The 17,293-nt window shown below is 51.8% G+C and overlaps 1 long non-coding RNA gene across 1 annotated transcript in view, besides 4 other annotated features; it reads right to left on the reverse strand.

Annotated features, from left to right (window-relative positions):
- Nucleotides 1-17,293, reverse strand: part of LINC02320 (long intergenic non-protein coding RNA 2320) — a 102,958-nt gene that overhangs the window by 71,976 nt on the left and 13,689 nt on the right. The window lies entirely within an intron of this gene.
- Nucleotides 5,419-5,478: a silencer, noted in NCBI's record as "silent region_6093". NCBI's record gives its function as "represses an Ori minimal core promoter by ATAC-STARR-seq in GM12878 lymphoblastoid cells {active_cell/tissue: GM12878}" and the evidence as "EXISTENCE:reporter gene assay evidence [ECO:0000049][PMID:35858748]".
- Nucleotides 5,559-5,678: a silencer, noted in NCBI's record as "silent region_6094". NCBI's record gives its function as "represses an Ori minimal core promoter by ATAC-STARR-seq in GM12878 lymphoblastoid cells {active_cell/tissue: GM12878}" and the evidence as "EXISTENCE:reporter gene assay evidence [ECO:0000049][PMID:35858748]".
- Nucleotides 5,689-5,958: a silencer, noted in NCBI's record as "silent region_6095". NCBI's record gives its function as "represses an Ori minimal core promoter by ATAC-STARR-seq in GM12878 lymphoblastoid cells {active_cell/tissue: GM12878}" and the evidence as "EXISTENCE:reporter gene assay evidence [ECO:0000049][PMID:35858748]".
- Nucleotides 7,365-8,135: an enhancer, noted in NCBI's record as "H3K4me1 hESC enhancer chr14:102174026-102174796 (GRCh37/hg19 assembly coordinates)". NCBI's record gives its function as "activates a minimal SCP1, AML or CMV promoter by ChIP-STARR-seq in naive H9 embryonic stem cells {active_cell/tissue: H9 hESC(naive)}" and the evidence as "EXISTENCE:reporter gene assay evidence [ECO:0000049][PMID:30033119]".

Consider the following 17,293-nt stretch of genomic DNA (forward strand, 5'->3'; position numbering starts at 1 on the left):
CTCAAAAGAATACATCCAAATGGCAAACAGCTATGTGAACAGGTGCTCAACATCACTGATCATCAGGGAAACACAAATCAAAACTCCAATGAGACATCATCTCATACTAGTTAAAATAGCTTTTATCTAAAAGGCAGGAAATAATGAATGCTGGAGTGTTGAGAAAGGGAACCCTCGTACACTGTTGGTGGGAATGTAAATTAGTGCAGCCACTTGGAAAACAACATGGAGCTTCCTCAGAAAACTAAAAATAGACAGGGCGCAGTGGCTCCTGCCTGCAATCCCAGCACTTTGGGAGGCCAAGGCGGGTGGATCACCTGAGGTCAGGAGTTCGAGACCAGCGTGGCCAACACAACGAAACCCTGTCTCTACTAAAAATGCAAAAAATAGCCGGGCATGGCGGTGCGTGCCTGTGATCCCAGCTACTCAGGAGGCTGAGGCAGGAGAATCTCTTGAACCTGGGAGGTGGAGGTTGCAGTGAGCCAAGATCATACCACTGCACTCCACCCTGGGCAACAGAACGAGATTCCATCCCAAAAAAGAAAAAAATAATCAAAAAACAAAAAGAAAACTAAGAATAGAACTACCATAGGATCCAGCAATCCCACTGATAGGGATATACCTAAAAGAAAGTAAATCAGTAAATCAAAGAGATGTCTGCACTCTCATGCATTGCAGCACTATTCACAATATCCAAGATTTGGAACCGAGGTGTCCATCAACAAAAGAATAAATAAAATGTGGTACATATGCACAATGGAGTACTATTCAGCCATAGAAAAGAATGAGATTCTGTCATTTGCAACCACATGGATGGAAATGGAGGACATTATGTTAAGTAAAATAAGCCAGGCACAGAAAGACAAGCTTTACATGTTCTCACTCATTTGTGGGAGCTAAAAATTAAAACCATGGAATTCATGGAGATGAGAGTAGAATGATGGTTACTGGAGGCTGGGAAGGGTAGAAAGGGGTGGAGGGTAGGGACAGTTAAGGAGTACAAAGATATATTCAGATAGAATGAATAAGATATAGTATTTGATAGCACAACAGGGTGACTAAAGTCAACAATAATGTATTAAATATTTTTAAAATAACTAAAAGAGTATAATTGGATTGTTTGTAACACCAAAAAAATGATAAATGCTTGAAGTGATGAACACCCCATTTCCCCTGATGTGATTATTACAAATTGCATGCCTGTATCAAAATATCTCATGTACCGCATAGATACATACACTGCTATGTACCCACAAAAATTAAAAATAAAGATAAATGAATAAGATATAAAAAGCAATAGGGGAAACTGAATGAAGGGCATATGAGAAACTCTTTGTGTCATCTTTGCAACTTCTCTGTAAATCTAAAAAAAAAAATCAGAGTAATTCACTACTTGTGATGGTTAATTTTATGTATCAACTTGACTGAGCCACAGGTGGCTCAGATATTTAGCCAAACATTATTCTAAGTATGTCTGTGAGGGTGTTTCTGGATGAGATTAACATTTCAATCAGTAGACTGAGCACAACAGATTGCCCTCCCCAATGTGGGTGGACCTCACCCAATCAACTGAAGACTTAAGTAGAATAAAAAGATTGAGTAAGAGGGAATGCCTCCTACCAGACTTGTTGACCTGAGACATTGGTCTTGCAGGCTTTTGGGCTCAGAGAGAAACATAACTCTTCTTAGGTCTTGAGGCTGCTGGCCTTTGGATCAGCAGCTCTCCTGGTTCTCCACCTTGCCCACTGCAAATCTTGGGACTTCTCAGCCTCCATTATCACATGAGCCAATTCCTTATAGCAAATCTATATCTATCTAACTATCTATCTATCTATCTATCTATCTAATATGGTTTGGCTCTGTGTCCCTGCCCAAATCTCATCTTGTAGCCCTACCAGGGCACTGCCTAGTGGAGCTGTGAGAAGAGGGCCACCATCCTCCAGATCCCAGAATGGTAGATCTACTGACAGCTTGCACCATGTGCCTGGAAAAGCTGCAGACACTCAACACCAGCCCATGAAAGCAGCCAGGAGGGAGGCTGCACCCTGCAAAGGGGCGGAGCTGCTGAAGACTATGGGAACCTACCTCTTGCATCCACATGACCTGGATGTAAGACGTGGACTCAAAGGAGATCATTTTGGAGCTTTAAGATTTGACTGCCATGCTGGATTTTGGACTTGCATGGGGCCTGTAGCCTCTCTGTTTTGGCCAATTTCTCCCATTTGGAATGGTTGTATTTACCCAGTGCCTATACCTTCATTGTATCTAGGGGCAGAATGATATGGTTTGGCTCTGTGTCCCCACCAAAATCTCATATTGTAGCTCCCATAATTCCCACGTGTTGTGGGAGGTACGCAGTGGGAGATGATTGAATTATGGGGCAGGTCTTTCCCATGCTGTTTCATGATAGTGAATGAGTCTCATGAGATCTGATGGTTTTGAAAACAGGAGTTGTCCTGCACAAGCTCTCTCTCTTTGTTTGCTGCCATCCACATAAAATGTGACTTGCTCCTCCTTGCCTTCCTCCAGGATTGTGAGGCCTCCCCAGCCATGTGGAACAGTAAGTCCAATAAACCTCTTTCTTTTGTAAATTGCCCAGTCTCAGGTATGTCTTCATCAGCAGAATGAAAATAGACTAATTATCTATCTATCTATCTATCTATCTATCTACCTACCTATCTATATCTATCCACCTATACCTATATCTATCTATCTATATCTCTCTATCTACCTATCCTATTAGTTCTGTTTCTCTCTGAAAAACCCTAACTAATACACCATATTCACAGAAAGAAAAAAATGAGAAAACTCCCATGATTATCTCAATAGATGCAGAGAAGGCATTTAACAAAATTAATGATTAAAAACTCTTAGAAAACTAAGAATAAAATAACACTTCCATGATCTGAAAAAGAAGTCTACAGAAACCATCATAGGAATTGGTAAAATGTTGAAAGTTTTCTCCCTGAAACCAAGAACAAGACAAAGATGTCCATTATCACCACCTCTATTCAATATTGTATTGAAGGTCTTAGTCAGTGTAGAAGGACAAAGAATGGAGATGAAAGGCATCCACGTAGAAAAGAAAACTATAAAACTGTTATTATTTGCAAATAACATGATTGTGTTATTAGAAAATCCAAATGAACCTACCAATAAATGATTTTCAGTAATAAGTGCATTTAGCAGCATTGCCGTATACAAGGTCAATATACAAAAATCACTTGTATTTCTACATGCCAGCAACAAATGTTAGAAACTTAGAAAAGCTTTTGAAAAACATAAAACACTCTTAGGTGAATGAATATAATGAAAGATGTATAAGACTTCTATGCTGAAAACTACAAAACACTATTAAGGGAAATTAAACCCTAAATAAATAAAGAATATATACTATGTTAATCATTGAAAGGCTCATTATTTTTAGATGTGAAATTCTCCCCAAAATCATTTAAATATTTCATATAATCACATCCAATTCCCAGGAGAAGTCGCTTTTGGTGGAAAATGATAACCTAACTCTAAAATGTGTATGAAAATGCAAAGGCTGAGAATAACCAAGGTGATCCTGAAGAAGGAGGAGGCAGACGATGAGGATGAGAAGGAGAAAACTGAAGGTAATTAAGACACTGTGATATTGGTACAAAGGTAGAAATATAAACCAACAGAAAAAGAGTTTAGAAACTGATTCGAAAATATACAATCCCCTGATTTATGACAAGGACACAGGAGAACACTGGAGATGTGAGGGTCTTGTCAGTAAATGCTGGTGTTAATTGGATATATATTTGGGAAAAAAAAAAAAGGTATCTTCACCCCCTAACTCAAATCATGTCTAACAATTGAGGTAGGAGGTGGTATTAGACTCTGGAGGTGAGGCTCAGACACCAGACCAAATTGAGGACTAGCTAAAACAGGTCTAGGGCCAAAGCACCTCCACATAAGACACACCCACCAGTGTGCCACGCCAGTGTACCATTGCCATGGCAACACCAGGGATTTACCACCCCTTTCCGTAGCAACAACCTGATAACCCAGAAGTTACCGCTCTCATCCTAGAAATCTCTGTATAAACTACCCCTTAATTTGCATATAATTAAGCATGGGTATAAATATGAGTGCAGACCTGCCTCTGAGCTGCTGCTCTGGGCTCACTGTCTAAGGGGTGGCCCTGCTCTGCAAGGGGCAGTCCCTCTGCCACTGCTGTGCATTGCTGCTTCAATAAACGTTGCTGGCTAACACCACCAGCTCACCCTTGAATTCTTACCTGGAGGAAGCCAGGAACCCCCCAGGGCTAAGCCCCAATTTGGGGGCTTGCTTATCCTGTATCACAATCTATTCTAGACAGATTGTAGATGTAAATAGTAAAGATGTTTTTAGAAAAGTTTTCTCTTTTGTTTTCAATTGAGTTAGTTTCTGCTCTCATATGGTTTTTCTGTTTGTTTTTTGGTGGTTTTTGTTTTGTTTTGTTTTGTTTTGTTTTTGAGACAGGGTCTTGCTCTGTTGCCCAGGCTGGAGTGCGATGGCACGATCTCAGCTCACTGCAACTGCCGCCTCCTGGGTTCCAGTGATTCTCCTGCCTCAGCCACCTGAGTAGCTGGGGTTATAGGAGTGTGCCATCGTGCCCAACTAACTTGGGGTTTTTTTTTGTTTTTGTTTAAGACAGAGTCTCACTCTGTTGCCCAGGCTGGAGTGCAGTGGCACAATCTCGGCTCACTACAACCTCTGCCTCCAGGGTTGAAGTGATTCTCCTGCCTCAGCCACTCGAGTAGCTGGGATTACAGGCGCCCACCACCACACCTGGCTAATTTTTTTATTCTTAGTAGAGACGGGTTTTGCCATGTTGGCCAGGCTGGTCTCGAACTCCTGACCTCAGGTGATCCGCCCGCCTCGAGCCTCCCAAAGTGCTGGGATCACAGGCGTGAGCCACTGCATCCGGCCTTATATGTATTATGTCCTGCTTTCTGTTTGCTTTGGACTTCTGTTGCTCTTCTTTTCCTAGTTTCTTAATGTAGAAGCTTAGATATTTGATGAGAGACCTTTCTTTGTTTCTAATACAGAGCTTTAATGTTCTATCTTTAATGTTCTATATTTAATGCTGTAAATGCTTAAGGGGAAATTTATATAGAAGTGAAGTGTCACAATGTCTGAATATTACTTTCCAGTGGGTTGTGGGGGGAAGGTACATATATAAAAAGAGTGACAGAGAACGAACGTGACAAAAGAAGGCAAAATGTTAACGTGAAGAATTATGAGAGATTATTTGGGCATCTCATTTTTCCGTGGATTTGGACATTTTTGTCCAGTCCCCAGAGGTGACAGTGTGGCCTCTATGGCTGCCCCGTGCTCTGTGACCGGCGCATATTCACCACGGGTGAGCCCCTCGAGCTGGGCCCTGGGGAGAGAGAGGGCGGTGCCCAAGCCAGGACCCTGCGGGCCGGGGCTGGAGGAGGCGCAGGTCCCGGCGTCCATGTGCAGCCCTGCGGCCGGGGCGCGAGATCTCCCCGCAGGCGGCCGCTCCCCGCCAGGGGCTTCCGGGAGCAGCCGAAGCCTGAACCTGGACGAGCCGCGACCGCAGCCGGCGGGGGGTGCCGTCCTCCTCGCCCTCCCTGGAGCCCGGCCCTGGGCCCACGCCGTGCCCCGAGCCTCCTCTGCGGCCCGCCCCCAGTTCCCCCGGTCCGCCGCGGCCGGGCATGGGGAGGTGAAGGCCTCCGTGGGGTGACAGGGGGCGCGGGGCCGCTTGTCCCCAGCGCAGGAGGAGCCGGGACCCGACGCGCACCCTCCGGCCTGCTGGAGGCTGAGCCGCCGCAGGGAAAGCACGTGGGTGAAGGGCCCAGCGCGGCGGTTCCTTGAAAAAGCGGGAGCCTGGTCTCAGCTGGGGCCTGGGGCCTGCCCCGCCCATGCAGGGGTCGCGGGAGCAGGGGCTCGGCCTCCTTCCCAGGCCGTGGCGGCGCCGCCCCGGAGGCAGGGACAGGGGCGAGCTCCCGCTGAGCCGCACTTCCTGGGCGAGGCCGCTGCAGGCAGCGCCGGAGGCACGTGCCCCGAGGGCCTCCTCTTCTGCCCCAGCTTGACAGGCAGCCCTGGGAGGAGTGAGAAGCTGCTGGCGCCGGATTCCTGCCCCTAACTCCCTTCAGGAGGAAATTCATGAGGCCCAGGCCAAGAGAGGAGGCTTCCCGGCAAAAAGGGAAGGGCTGGGCAGGGGCAGCAGGAACCACGGCCCGAGGGGTGAGAGCTTCTGGGCTCTGAGAGCCTGACCCTGACTTCCCTTGGCCCGTGGACATGACCTCTCCAGGTCAGATTCCTCCTCCGCAGAATGGAGGGGATGGTACTGGCAGGAGGTTGTACCGACCTCGCAAGGCCATCTCGAGGGCTCGAGGAAAGGCCTACCACGCATGGCCCGTGGACAGAGCTGGTAAATATTGGCTGTCACTAAGTTCAAGGCCGCAGGGAACATGGCAGAGTGACCCAGGTGTCAGCACAGGCCTTGTGCATGAGGAAGCGCTAGGGGAAGGGAAGGAGACCTCTACACCCACTGCCTGCACACCCTGGGACAGGACTCCAGAAGTCCCCGCCCAAATCCCCCTCCATCTCCCCCTCTAACCTAAGCCCCAGGTGCTGTGCCGTATCCCCAGCACCCAGCACAGTGCCTGGCACACAGCATGACTGCCCACAGGGGCAGGGGCTGCAGAGAACCCGCAGGGATACAGCCGACCTGCAGGCCCAGTAACAACTAGGTTTTTAAAATCCAGAATGAGGCTCTGCGGTTCACCTGGAGACATGAAGACTGGGTCTGGCGCCACACACACACAGCAGGGTCTGTGGTCTCCGTTTCCAAGGCCCCCGAATCCCTGGCAGTCCCCAGCCCAGCTGCAGCAGGGACCAGCTTCCTTAGCTGGACCATGATCCCCCTCGAGCATTAGAGACAGGAGCTAGTTCTGAAGAGCCCGGGACAGGTGTAGTGAAGATGCCTGTCCCGTGAAATCCTCCCCTTTAATGAGGAGGCTGCCTACCGCCGGGGCCAAGGAACTGAAATGGAGCAAGAAGGGGCCGCAGGCAATTCACCACCAGCAGGGCCTGTGAGTCCTTGAGCCCCGCATAAAAAAGTATCCAGCTTGGCGCAATCTAAGGTGTAATTGTACCATTTGGTCACCAGAGGGCGCTCAATAATCATCTTTGCTTTTAGTATCGCAAATTACGCAGCAGAAAACTTCCTGCCCATTCAGCACACGCAAGCCACTGTTGCATGTTTCTTGTGTCAGCTCAAGTAATTCTCACAACCAGCCATGAAGTATTTGTTGTTGCCCTTACACAGCCGAAGAATCTGAGGTTCAGAGTATTTGAGTAATTTGGCTGAGGTCACACAGCAGTGACTCTTAGAGGCAGGACCAAGCCCAGGTCTTGTCTCCAGAGGCTGCACTGTGCACCCCCATACTGCTTCCTGTTCGACCTGTATGATACTGCATGCATTTAAGTTCATGTTCTAGCAAAATATCTCCCTGTATAAGGTGCCAAACTTTTATTTGAAGTGCTAGGGGTGCACACAGTGCAGCACAGAGGAAAGTCCTTTGTTTCGTCCCAGGAGTTTGGGTCTGACCCTGTAGCAGGGTGTGCTTGTGCCGGCTCACAAGCAGACTATTACAGTGCAGGGTGTGTAGTAGGACCCTCTGGGCTCCCTCATCCCCACCAGTGCTCACATGCTCCTGATCACCAAGGACAGCCGTCCTGGACCTCCCCAAGTCGTCATGCAGGCCATCTGGGAAGGGAATATGCCCAGGAGCTCCGCCTCTGAGCTGTTGGAAATGCATGCCCCAGGGTGGGCTCAGAGAGCAGGCAAACACACAGGGTATTGTCCAGGTGACGGAGGGGGTCCTGGGCCCTATCTGGGGGCTGCTGTAGGGTTAGCAGCTGAGAAAGGGCCTCACAGCTCTAGCCAAGGAGTCTTCCCTATTCACCCAAATCTGGAAGTTTCATATGGTTCTGGAGACCCGGCTCTGAGAGGACCCCAGCTCCAGAGGGCGGAGGCCACATTTGCATCCCCCGGCTTTGCAAAGCCCTGCCACATAGCAGTGGACTCCATACATACTCAGAGGTAAAGAGAGGGTGAGAAAGAGAAAGGGAAGGATGAAGGGAGGGAGGCTCAGACAGAGGGTGGAAGGGGCAAAGACCAGCGAGTCCATCTGGGCCCCACAAGTGGACCCAGGGAGCTGGCATGGGGCGTGGCTTGTGGAGGAGGGTGAGTCTGGACAGCAGCGGGCCACCTGTTTAGGCTTTGTCCCAGGAGTCTGGGTCTGACCCTGTAGCAGGGTGTGCTTGTGCCGGCTCACAAGCAGACTATTACATTTTCAGGAATTTTGCAGATCAGTTGTTAAGCACAGCCATTATTAAAGATTAAATTATATTCAAAAACAGGTAATAAATACTCAAAACTTTCTAACATTTTACTATACTTTATTGTTTTCTCTGCCGTTGAGGTTATTTCTGTGTGGTGCGTCTGTGTAGTAGAGCCTGTGTGACGATGTGCTATTGATCTCTTCCCCACGGCATAGTCAGTGACTTCAGATTGGTAGTTTGAAATTGGCCATGACAGGCAGATTTACACCATGGAAATTGGCAAACACTGCCAATCGGGGCTTTTTATCCAGAGCAGTCGTTAAACATTTACACGTAGTGCACTACTGTCCATAAGGGGCAGCATGGTCAGACTGCACTTTTAAAAGGTCTTGAGGGCAGGGGAACCAAGAGGCGTTCAAGTAAAGGAGTGAAGAATCAGAGCGTGACGTAGTTTAGCGACTTGGACCAGGACACGTTTGAAAGCCTAAGTACCTTAGAGGAGCCACTGGCTGACGTCCAGATGGCAGAAAGAAAGCCACCCCAAATCAGGCCCTCTCATTCAGTGCTGAGGAGCACGGTCTAGACGGCTGGTTCAACTTTTAAACACATGGGAAAATAATCCCCACTGGGACACAGCCCCGCCGCCCTGGATCCCAGCCTGCCCCAGGGTGTCTGTCTGCTGCTTCTGCCACCCTGCAGCTGCGCAAATGTTTGGGGAAGGGTCCTATCTGGAGGGGCCTCCTTTCACCGCCCAGATGCAGCAGGGCAAGCCTGGGCAGCTGTGTTGGACACCAGCCCCACGCTGCCTCCGTTGCCTTCATTCTCAGATGAGGAGGATGCAGGGAAACAGGGCAGGGGTGGGGGATGGGGGAGGGACAGAAGGCGAGGACTGCAGTTTTGGGGCATTTTCAACATCATTAGCCACGTCGAGTAGACGGCCGGAGGTGGGTGGGAGAGGTATTTGGGCATTGCTGGCACGCACGTAGGAGCTCCACAGGGGCCAGTGTAGGTAAAGGGAAGAACTGAGGTCGGAGAGGAGCTGAGAACATGTGGTGGGGGCATCGGTGGAGGCAAAGGGCCCCCCAAAACAGCTCGCTCCCTGGCTGGAGATGCTGTGCCAAACAGAAAGAGGAGGAGGACTTCATCGGAGGAGGCCAAGCTAGTGCCACCTAGCAGTGCCCTACACTTAGGTTCCAAAAGCTTGGTGTCTTGGGTTCTCAGGCACCATAGGCCACAGTGCTCACATATAAAGGGTATATGGAGGTTAAAAAAAAAAGCCTCTGTGACCAAACGGTCTCCTCACCAACACACAGCTCACAGCTGAGTTCTGCCTTAAATGCAATGAGGTCTGCCTGACCCCATAATCTCACATTGGCCCCAACTGGCCAACACCAGCCACCACGACCAATCCAGAACCTTTGCTAGACCAGCTGAGGCTGCAGGAGAGAGGTCCTGGCTTCAGCGAGAAGGAAATGAAGGATACATCAGCCCAAGATATATCCTAGGTGGACCAGCCAGGTCACCTAGGCCCTGCCTATAGCCCAGGCCGGCACACGGGACCTGTCCCTCTTCCTGTTGGTCAGCACAGGGATCCAGGAAGCGAGAAGTGGGGAGGTGGGGCCTTTTATGCAGTGACTGTGCCCACCGACCACACCTGCTGGCCACGCCTACTGCTAAACGCAGCCCAAACAGTGACTCAGCTTCCACCAATCCAATCAGCATCCGTTCCTCCATGGGAGGTGTTTGGAGAGGGAGTAGGCTCAGAGATGAGCTGAGGTCTGGAAGACTCCTCTCCAACAAACATCTCAGGGGAACCCAAACACCAAGAGGCAGGAGCACAGCTGCTCTGGCCAAAGGGAGGGCCTCAAGCCCACTTAGTCTTCACCTCACTAGGAGCCAGGGCACACTGCCTGTGAGAATGCTGGGAGCCCACTCACTCCTTAAAACCACACTGTGAGGCCAGATTCACTACCCTTCTTGTACAGAAGAAGAGACTGAGGTTCAGAGAGGCCCACTATACACCCAATGGCACACAGCTGTTGGGTAGCAGCCTCACTGGCCTCCTTCACTGGGCTTGTCCCCCTCCAGTGACTGCCTGGTTAGGGACACCAGGCATGAGGCTAGGACAGGCACCCCATGGATCAGCTCCACCTGCCTCTCAATGGCTCACCCAAAAAGATACCAGTAACTCAAAGGAAGGGGGTGCTGTGGTCTGAATGTGTTCCCCCAACATTTATGTGTTGAAATCCTAACTCCCAGGCGATGGTATTAAGAGGAAATTGGTACCAAGTGGGGGTGCTACTGTAACAAGTACCTAAAAATGTGGAAGCAGCTTTGGAACTGGAAGAGTTTGGGGGTACCTGCCAGAAAACGCCTACATTGCCATGAATGAACCATTAAGGGTGATTCTGGGGAGGGCTCAGAAAGACAAGAGACTTGGAATCCCACAGACCATGTTCCCCGGGGCCGCCTGTCCACCCCCCTCACTCAACCACCGGGCCATCCAGTGCTGGGGATGAGGAAACAGCCGGGCCCCTGCCTGCCTGTGGAGGCCCCATCTGGTCATCTGCTGTCACCCATGACGAAGTGCAAGGAGGTCTATGTTTGAATGTCCCAGAGGCCAGCCCAGCCACTCCACTGAGAATTTCACCCCTCCCAGGCGTCACCTCCCTTCCCAGCTTCATGTAGCTCCAGGACACAGGAAACAGCATTCCTCCTTTACCCTGTTGCCTCCACCCTCCACCACAACACAGACACCAGGCAGGCTCTTTCCAGCACTGTGTTCCCTGCAGAACCCCCTGCCACAGACCCACACTCATTCCCTGAAGGGAGGGAGGCAGGCAGAAGGGTGGCAGGAGGACCCCCCTGCACAGAGCTGCTGCCCCAGCTGCACGGCCAGAGAAGGGGGGCAGCCAGTGTGGGGAGGGGTGGCAGTCAAAGGAGTGCCACAGGGGAGCAGCAGCTGGGGCTGGGTCTAGACACTCAACAGAGGTTGACTGGAAGCTTCCACTGTGGCTAAGGGACAGCCACTCCTGCCTTGTCCCCTCACAGGTCAAGTCCTCAGAGGAAACACAGAGGACAGAACTCAGCACTTCCCAACTGCAATCTCACCCCACCCAGCGAGATCTCACCCCACCCAGCGAGATCTCACCCGACCCACCGATATCTCACCCCACCCACCGAGATCTCACCCCACCGAGATCTCACCCCACCGAGATCTCACCCCACCCACCATCATCTCTCCCCACCCACCGTCATCTCACCCCACCCACCGTCATCTCTCCCCACCCACCGTCATCTCACCCCACCCACCGTCATCTCACCCCACCCACCATCTCTCCCCCCCCACCGTCATCTCCCCCCCACCCACCATCTCTCCCCACCCACCGTCATCTCTCCCCACCCACCGTCATCTCTCCCCACCCACCGTCATCTCACCCCACCCACTGTCATCTCACCCCACCGAGATCTCACCCCACCCACTGTCATCTCACCCCACCCACTGTCATCTCACCCCACCCACCGAGATCTCACCCCACCCACCATCATCTCTCCCCACCCACCGTCATCTCATCCCACCCACCGTCATCTCTCCCCACCCACCGTCATCTCATCCCACCCACCGTCATCTCTCCCCACCCACCGTCATCTCATCCCACCCACCGTCATCTCTCCCCACCCACTGTCATCTCTCCCCACCCACCGTCATCTCACCCCACCCACCGTCATCTCACCCCACCCACTGTCATCTCTCCCCACCCACTGAGATCTCACCCCACCCGCCGTCATCTCACCCCACCCACTGTCATCTCTCCCCACCCACCAAGATCTCACCCCACCCACCGAGATCTCACCCCACCCACCGTCATTTCTCCCCACCCACTGTCATCTCTCCCGACCCACCGTCATCTCACCCCACCCACCGTCATCTCATCCCACCCACCGTCATCTCACCCCACCGTCATCTCACCCCACCCACCGTCATCTCACCCCACTGTCATCTCACCCCACCCACCATCATCTCACCCCACCCACCGTCATCTCACCCCACCCACCGTCATCTCTCCCCACCCACCGTCATCTCACCCCACCCACCGTCATCTCTCCCCACCCACCAAGATCTCACCCCACCCACCGTCATCTCTCCCCACCGTCATCTCACCCCACCCACCGTCATCTCACCCCACCCACCGTCATCTCTCCCCACCCACCGAGATCTCACCCCACCCACCGTCATCTCACCCCACCCACCGTCATCTCACCCCACCCACCGTCATCTCCCCCCACCCACTGTCATCTCTCCCCACCCACTGTCATCTCACCCCACCGAGATCTCTCCCCACCCACCGTCATCTCTCCCAACCCACTGTCATCTCACCCCACCCACTGTCATCTCACCCGAGATCTCACCCCACCCACCGTCATCTCCCCCCACCCACCGTCATCTCCCCCCACCCACTGTCATCTCTCCCAACCCACTGTCATCTCACCCGAGATCTCACCCCACCCACTGTCATCTCACCCCACCCACTGTCATCTCACCCCACCCACTGTCATCTCTCCCCACCGTCATCTCACCCCACCCGCTGTCATCTCACCCCACCCACTGTCATCTCTCCCCACCCACTGTCATCTCACCCCACCCACTGTCATCTCTCCCCACCCACTGTCATCTCACCCCACCCACTGTCATCTCACCCCACCCACCGTCATCTCTCCGGACCCACCGTCATCTCTCCCCACCCACCGTCATCTCATCCCACCCACCGTCATCTCTCCCCACCCACCGTCATCTCCCCCCACCCACCGTCATCTCCCCCCACCCACTGTCATCTCTCCCCACCCACCGTCATCTCACCCCACCCACCGTCATCTCACCCCACCCACCGTCATCTCACCCCACCCACTGTCATCCCACCCCACCCACTGTCATCTCACCCGAGATCTCACCCCACCCACTGTCATCTCACCCCACCCGCTGTCATCTCACCCCACCCACCGTCATCTCACCCCACCCACTGTCATCTCACCCCACCGAGATCTCACCCCACCCACCGTCATCTCTCCCCACCCACTGTCATCTCACCCCACCCACTGAGATCTCACCCAAGTATAATCTTGCAGCACCGCTTTTCTTTCTAATGTCTTGACAAGCAGGTGAGAAGATGCTGAGTGTTCTTGGTCCATTGCTGTGGCTACAAAGGCTGGTTCTAGTGTCTCACTGGCTGTCTCCTGCTCAAGCATGGTTTTAGCAGTTCCCTTCTTATCCCGGGCCATACTAGACCTACTGTCTTCCCTGGCTTGCACTATGCTATGGTTTGAATGTTTGTCTCCTTCCTCATGTTGAAATTTAACCCCCAATGTGGCAGTATTGGGAGGTGGGGCCTTTAAGAGGTGATTATGTCATATGTCCCCTTCCCTCATGAGTAGATTACTCCATTCAGCGAGTAATGGGCTAATGGATGTTCTTGGGAGTAGGACTTGTGGCTCTATAACAAGGAGAGAGAACTGAGCTTGCACACTCAGCCCCTCATCTTGTGATGCCCTGGGCTGCCTTGGGACTTTGCAGAAAGTCCCTGCTAGCATGAAGGCCCTCACCAGATGCAGCCTCTCAACCTTGGACTTCCCAGCCTTCAGGACTGTAAGAAATAAATCTTGTTTCTTTATTAATTACCCAGTTTCAGGTATTCTGTTATAAGCCACAGTAAATGGACTAAGACAGGCTGTGGTAACAAACTACCATTAAATGGGTGGCTTAAATAACAGATTTATTTCTTAGAGTTCTAGGGTCTGGGGAGTCCAAGATCAAGGTGCTGGTAGATCCCCTGTCTGATACGAGCTCACTTCCAGGTTTGTAGATAGCCACCTTCTCATTGTGTCCTACATGGCAGACAGCAGACAGAGGAGGAGCAAACTCCACTGTCTCTTCGTATAAGGGCACTAATCCCATTCATGAGGGCCACACCCTCATGACCTAATTACATCCCAAAGGCCCACCTCTGAATATCCTTGTGTTGAAGGTTAGGAATTCAACACATGAATTTGGGGGAGACAAACGTTTAGTCCATAACACCTATAACAACCAAGACACAGCTACCAGCCACATGTGGCTACTGAGCCAGTATGAATTGGGATGGGCTATAAAATGCAAAATATACACTGAAATGTAATGATTCTGTATAAAGGCTGGGTACAGTGGCTTAGGCCTATAATCCCAACAATTTGGGAGGCTGAGGTGGGAAGATCCCTTGAGACCAGCCTGGGCAACATAGGAAGACCCCATTTCTAGAAAAAAATTTCCCAGTCTGGGCAACATAGAGAGAACTTGTCTCTGTAGAAATTTTTAAAAATTAGCCAGGCATGGTGCAGGCACCTGTAGTCCCATCTACCCAGGAGGCTGAGGTGGAAGGATACCCTGAGCCTGGGAGGTCGAGGCTTCAGTAAGCTATGATCATGCCACTGCACTCCAGCCTGGGTTACAGAGTGAGCCTCTTCTCAATTTAAAAAAAAAAAAAAAAAAAAAAGATTTAGTAGGAAAAAAGGATGAAGGCAAAATATCTCATTAATAAGTTTTATTTTGATGGCATGTTGCGATGATAATATTTTGAGCATATCTTGGACTACATTAAATATATTACTAAAATCAATGTCATCTTTTTCTTTTTACTTTTGAAATGTGGGCACTAAGAATTTTTTAACACCTACGTGGTTCGCACTTGTGGCTCACATGACATCCCTATTGGGCAGAGCTAGTCCAGAGGATTCTGAGCCTTTGGCGCCAGTGCTTGGATCATCTGAGTTGTAGGCGCCCTCCCCTCATGCGTGCACAAGCAGTGAAGATCTTGATCTCACTCTTGGGTCGATGAGTTAAATGTGTGTGATACTACAGAGGGAGGCAGGCAGCCCAGGTGTTGCAGGGCTGTGAGTGGAAGCTTCGGGGGCATCTGCTTCTCTGTCTTGCAGGTCTTCAAGTGATTGTCCGGGAAAGTCTGGGGAGAGGTGGGGATACTGCAGTTGCAAACCCCAGTGCTGGAGGTGGGGCCTGGTGGGAGGTGACTGGATCTTGGGGCGGTTTCTCATGGTTTAACACCACCCACCTTGGTGCTCCTGCTTGGCCTCAGCCATAAGTCAAAGATCCCCAAGGCCTCCCCAGAGGCAGATGCTGCCATGCTTCCTGTATAGCCTGTGGAACCACGAGCCAATGACACCTGCTTCCTTTATAAATTACCCAGTCTCAGGTATTTCTTTATAGCAGTGCAAGAACGGACTACAGCACTCCAGTGCCGGCCTCTCTCCAAGGGCAGCTCCACTTCCAGCCTCCACTCTTGGGTCATCTGGGACCTGTGGACATTCACCCCAAGCGAAGCCAAGAGTCCCCTTTGGGATGAATAAATCCAATGGCTGACCAGGTGGTGACCTCCAGGCCTGGCAAAGCTGCCTCCCACGAAGCCCTATCTCCATATTGAGGATTGCAATTCCACATGAGATTTGGGCGGAGACAAAGATCCAAACCATATCATGGGTCAGAAACCTGAGTATGGAACAGGACGTGGCCAGTGAGGGCCGGTGGGGGGCAGCATGGAGAGTCACACTGGTGAGAACTCATCAAGGTCTGTCCACTGGGTCTGAGCAACACCCCCTGACCTGCCTGCCCCACCCCAAGCCAAGACGCCAACTGGAGGCTGCATCCCCTCCACTGCTGGCTGCAGTGTTGAAGATTGGGAGGCTCTCCCTCTTCCGCAGGCATAGAATTTCAAATTGACACAGACTGCAGTGGAACCGCTGACCCAGCACTAACCTCACCCATCCCAGCCCCTCGGCAGGCCTGCCAGCGGGTAGCTTCCTGCCCCAGTCACCCCTGCAGGACACCAGCTCTCCATTCCTCTGGCACCCGTGTCAACCTCTCGTTCCCACAGTGGCTGCCTTGGCTCATGCCTTCACATGTTTCTCCCTTGCACTCTCCCAGGCCCCTGACCCATCTCTGCACCTCTCAGCTCTCCTGCCGCTGCACCTGCCCACATTCCCGAGTCAGAGCCCCCTGCTGCGCACCGCCACCTGGGCAGCCTCTCAACAGGAGAGTTTAACCGACACCCAGCTCTGGGTGCACTCCTCAGCAGAGCCACCCTTGGCTCCCAGAATGCCCACCCTGTGACCCCTCTTCGGCTGGACTGCAAGGAGTCTCTGTGCCAACAAGGAAAAGGCGCCCCTGCTGGCTGCAGGACATGGGCTGTGGAGGGAAGTGTCTGACCCAGACAGTGCCCAGTTGTAATTATCTCATAACCCGCAGTCTTTACTTGTCTGACTTCCTTTTTAGACCATGGGAACTGCCAGGGCAGATCCCTAGACGCTCAATAAATGCATCTTTATTTAGAATGCACAGGTGCAGTTATCCAGCGGGCGCAGTGGAAGTGGGGATGCAGGAGGTGCCTGTGAATGGGCAGCCGGGGAGATTCTAATGTGGGCAGAGAGCGGAGAGGACCTGGGAAGGAAGGGAGGGGCCGCGGCACTGGGAGTCACAGGCCAGGCTGTCGCTTTGAGGGTCTGCACAGAGGGCAGGACCAGAGGAGACCACCCTGGGACTGCACAGAGCCGGCTTGAGGGTCCAGCCCCTTAAAGACAATCCTCTAGAGGCTGCAGAGTTTCCTCGAGCTGCCATAACAAAGCTCACAGGCTGTGTCCCCCAGCCACCCTTCACCCGCCGATTCCTGTGTTGAAGCCCTAACCCCCAGTACCTCAGAATGTGGCTGCATTTGGAGACTGGGCCTTTAAAAAGGTGATTGAGTTAAATTGAGGCCCTTAGGTTGGCCCTAATCCAACCCGGCTGACATCCTTTAAAAAAAAAAAAAAAAAGAGGTGATTCAGACACACAAAGAGCCACCAGGGATGTGTGAGTGCATAAAAATAGAGCATGTGAGGGTGCAGCGAGCAGGCGGCCGCCTGCAGACCAAGGAGAGAGGCCTCC

The sequence above is a fragment of the Homo sapiens genome, chromosome 14 (genome assembly GCF_000001405.40).
Source record: "Homo sapiens chromosome 14, GRCh38.p14 Primary Assembly".
Lineage (NCBI taxonomy): Eukaryota > Metazoa > Chordata > Mammalia > Primates > Hominidae > Homo > Homo sapiens.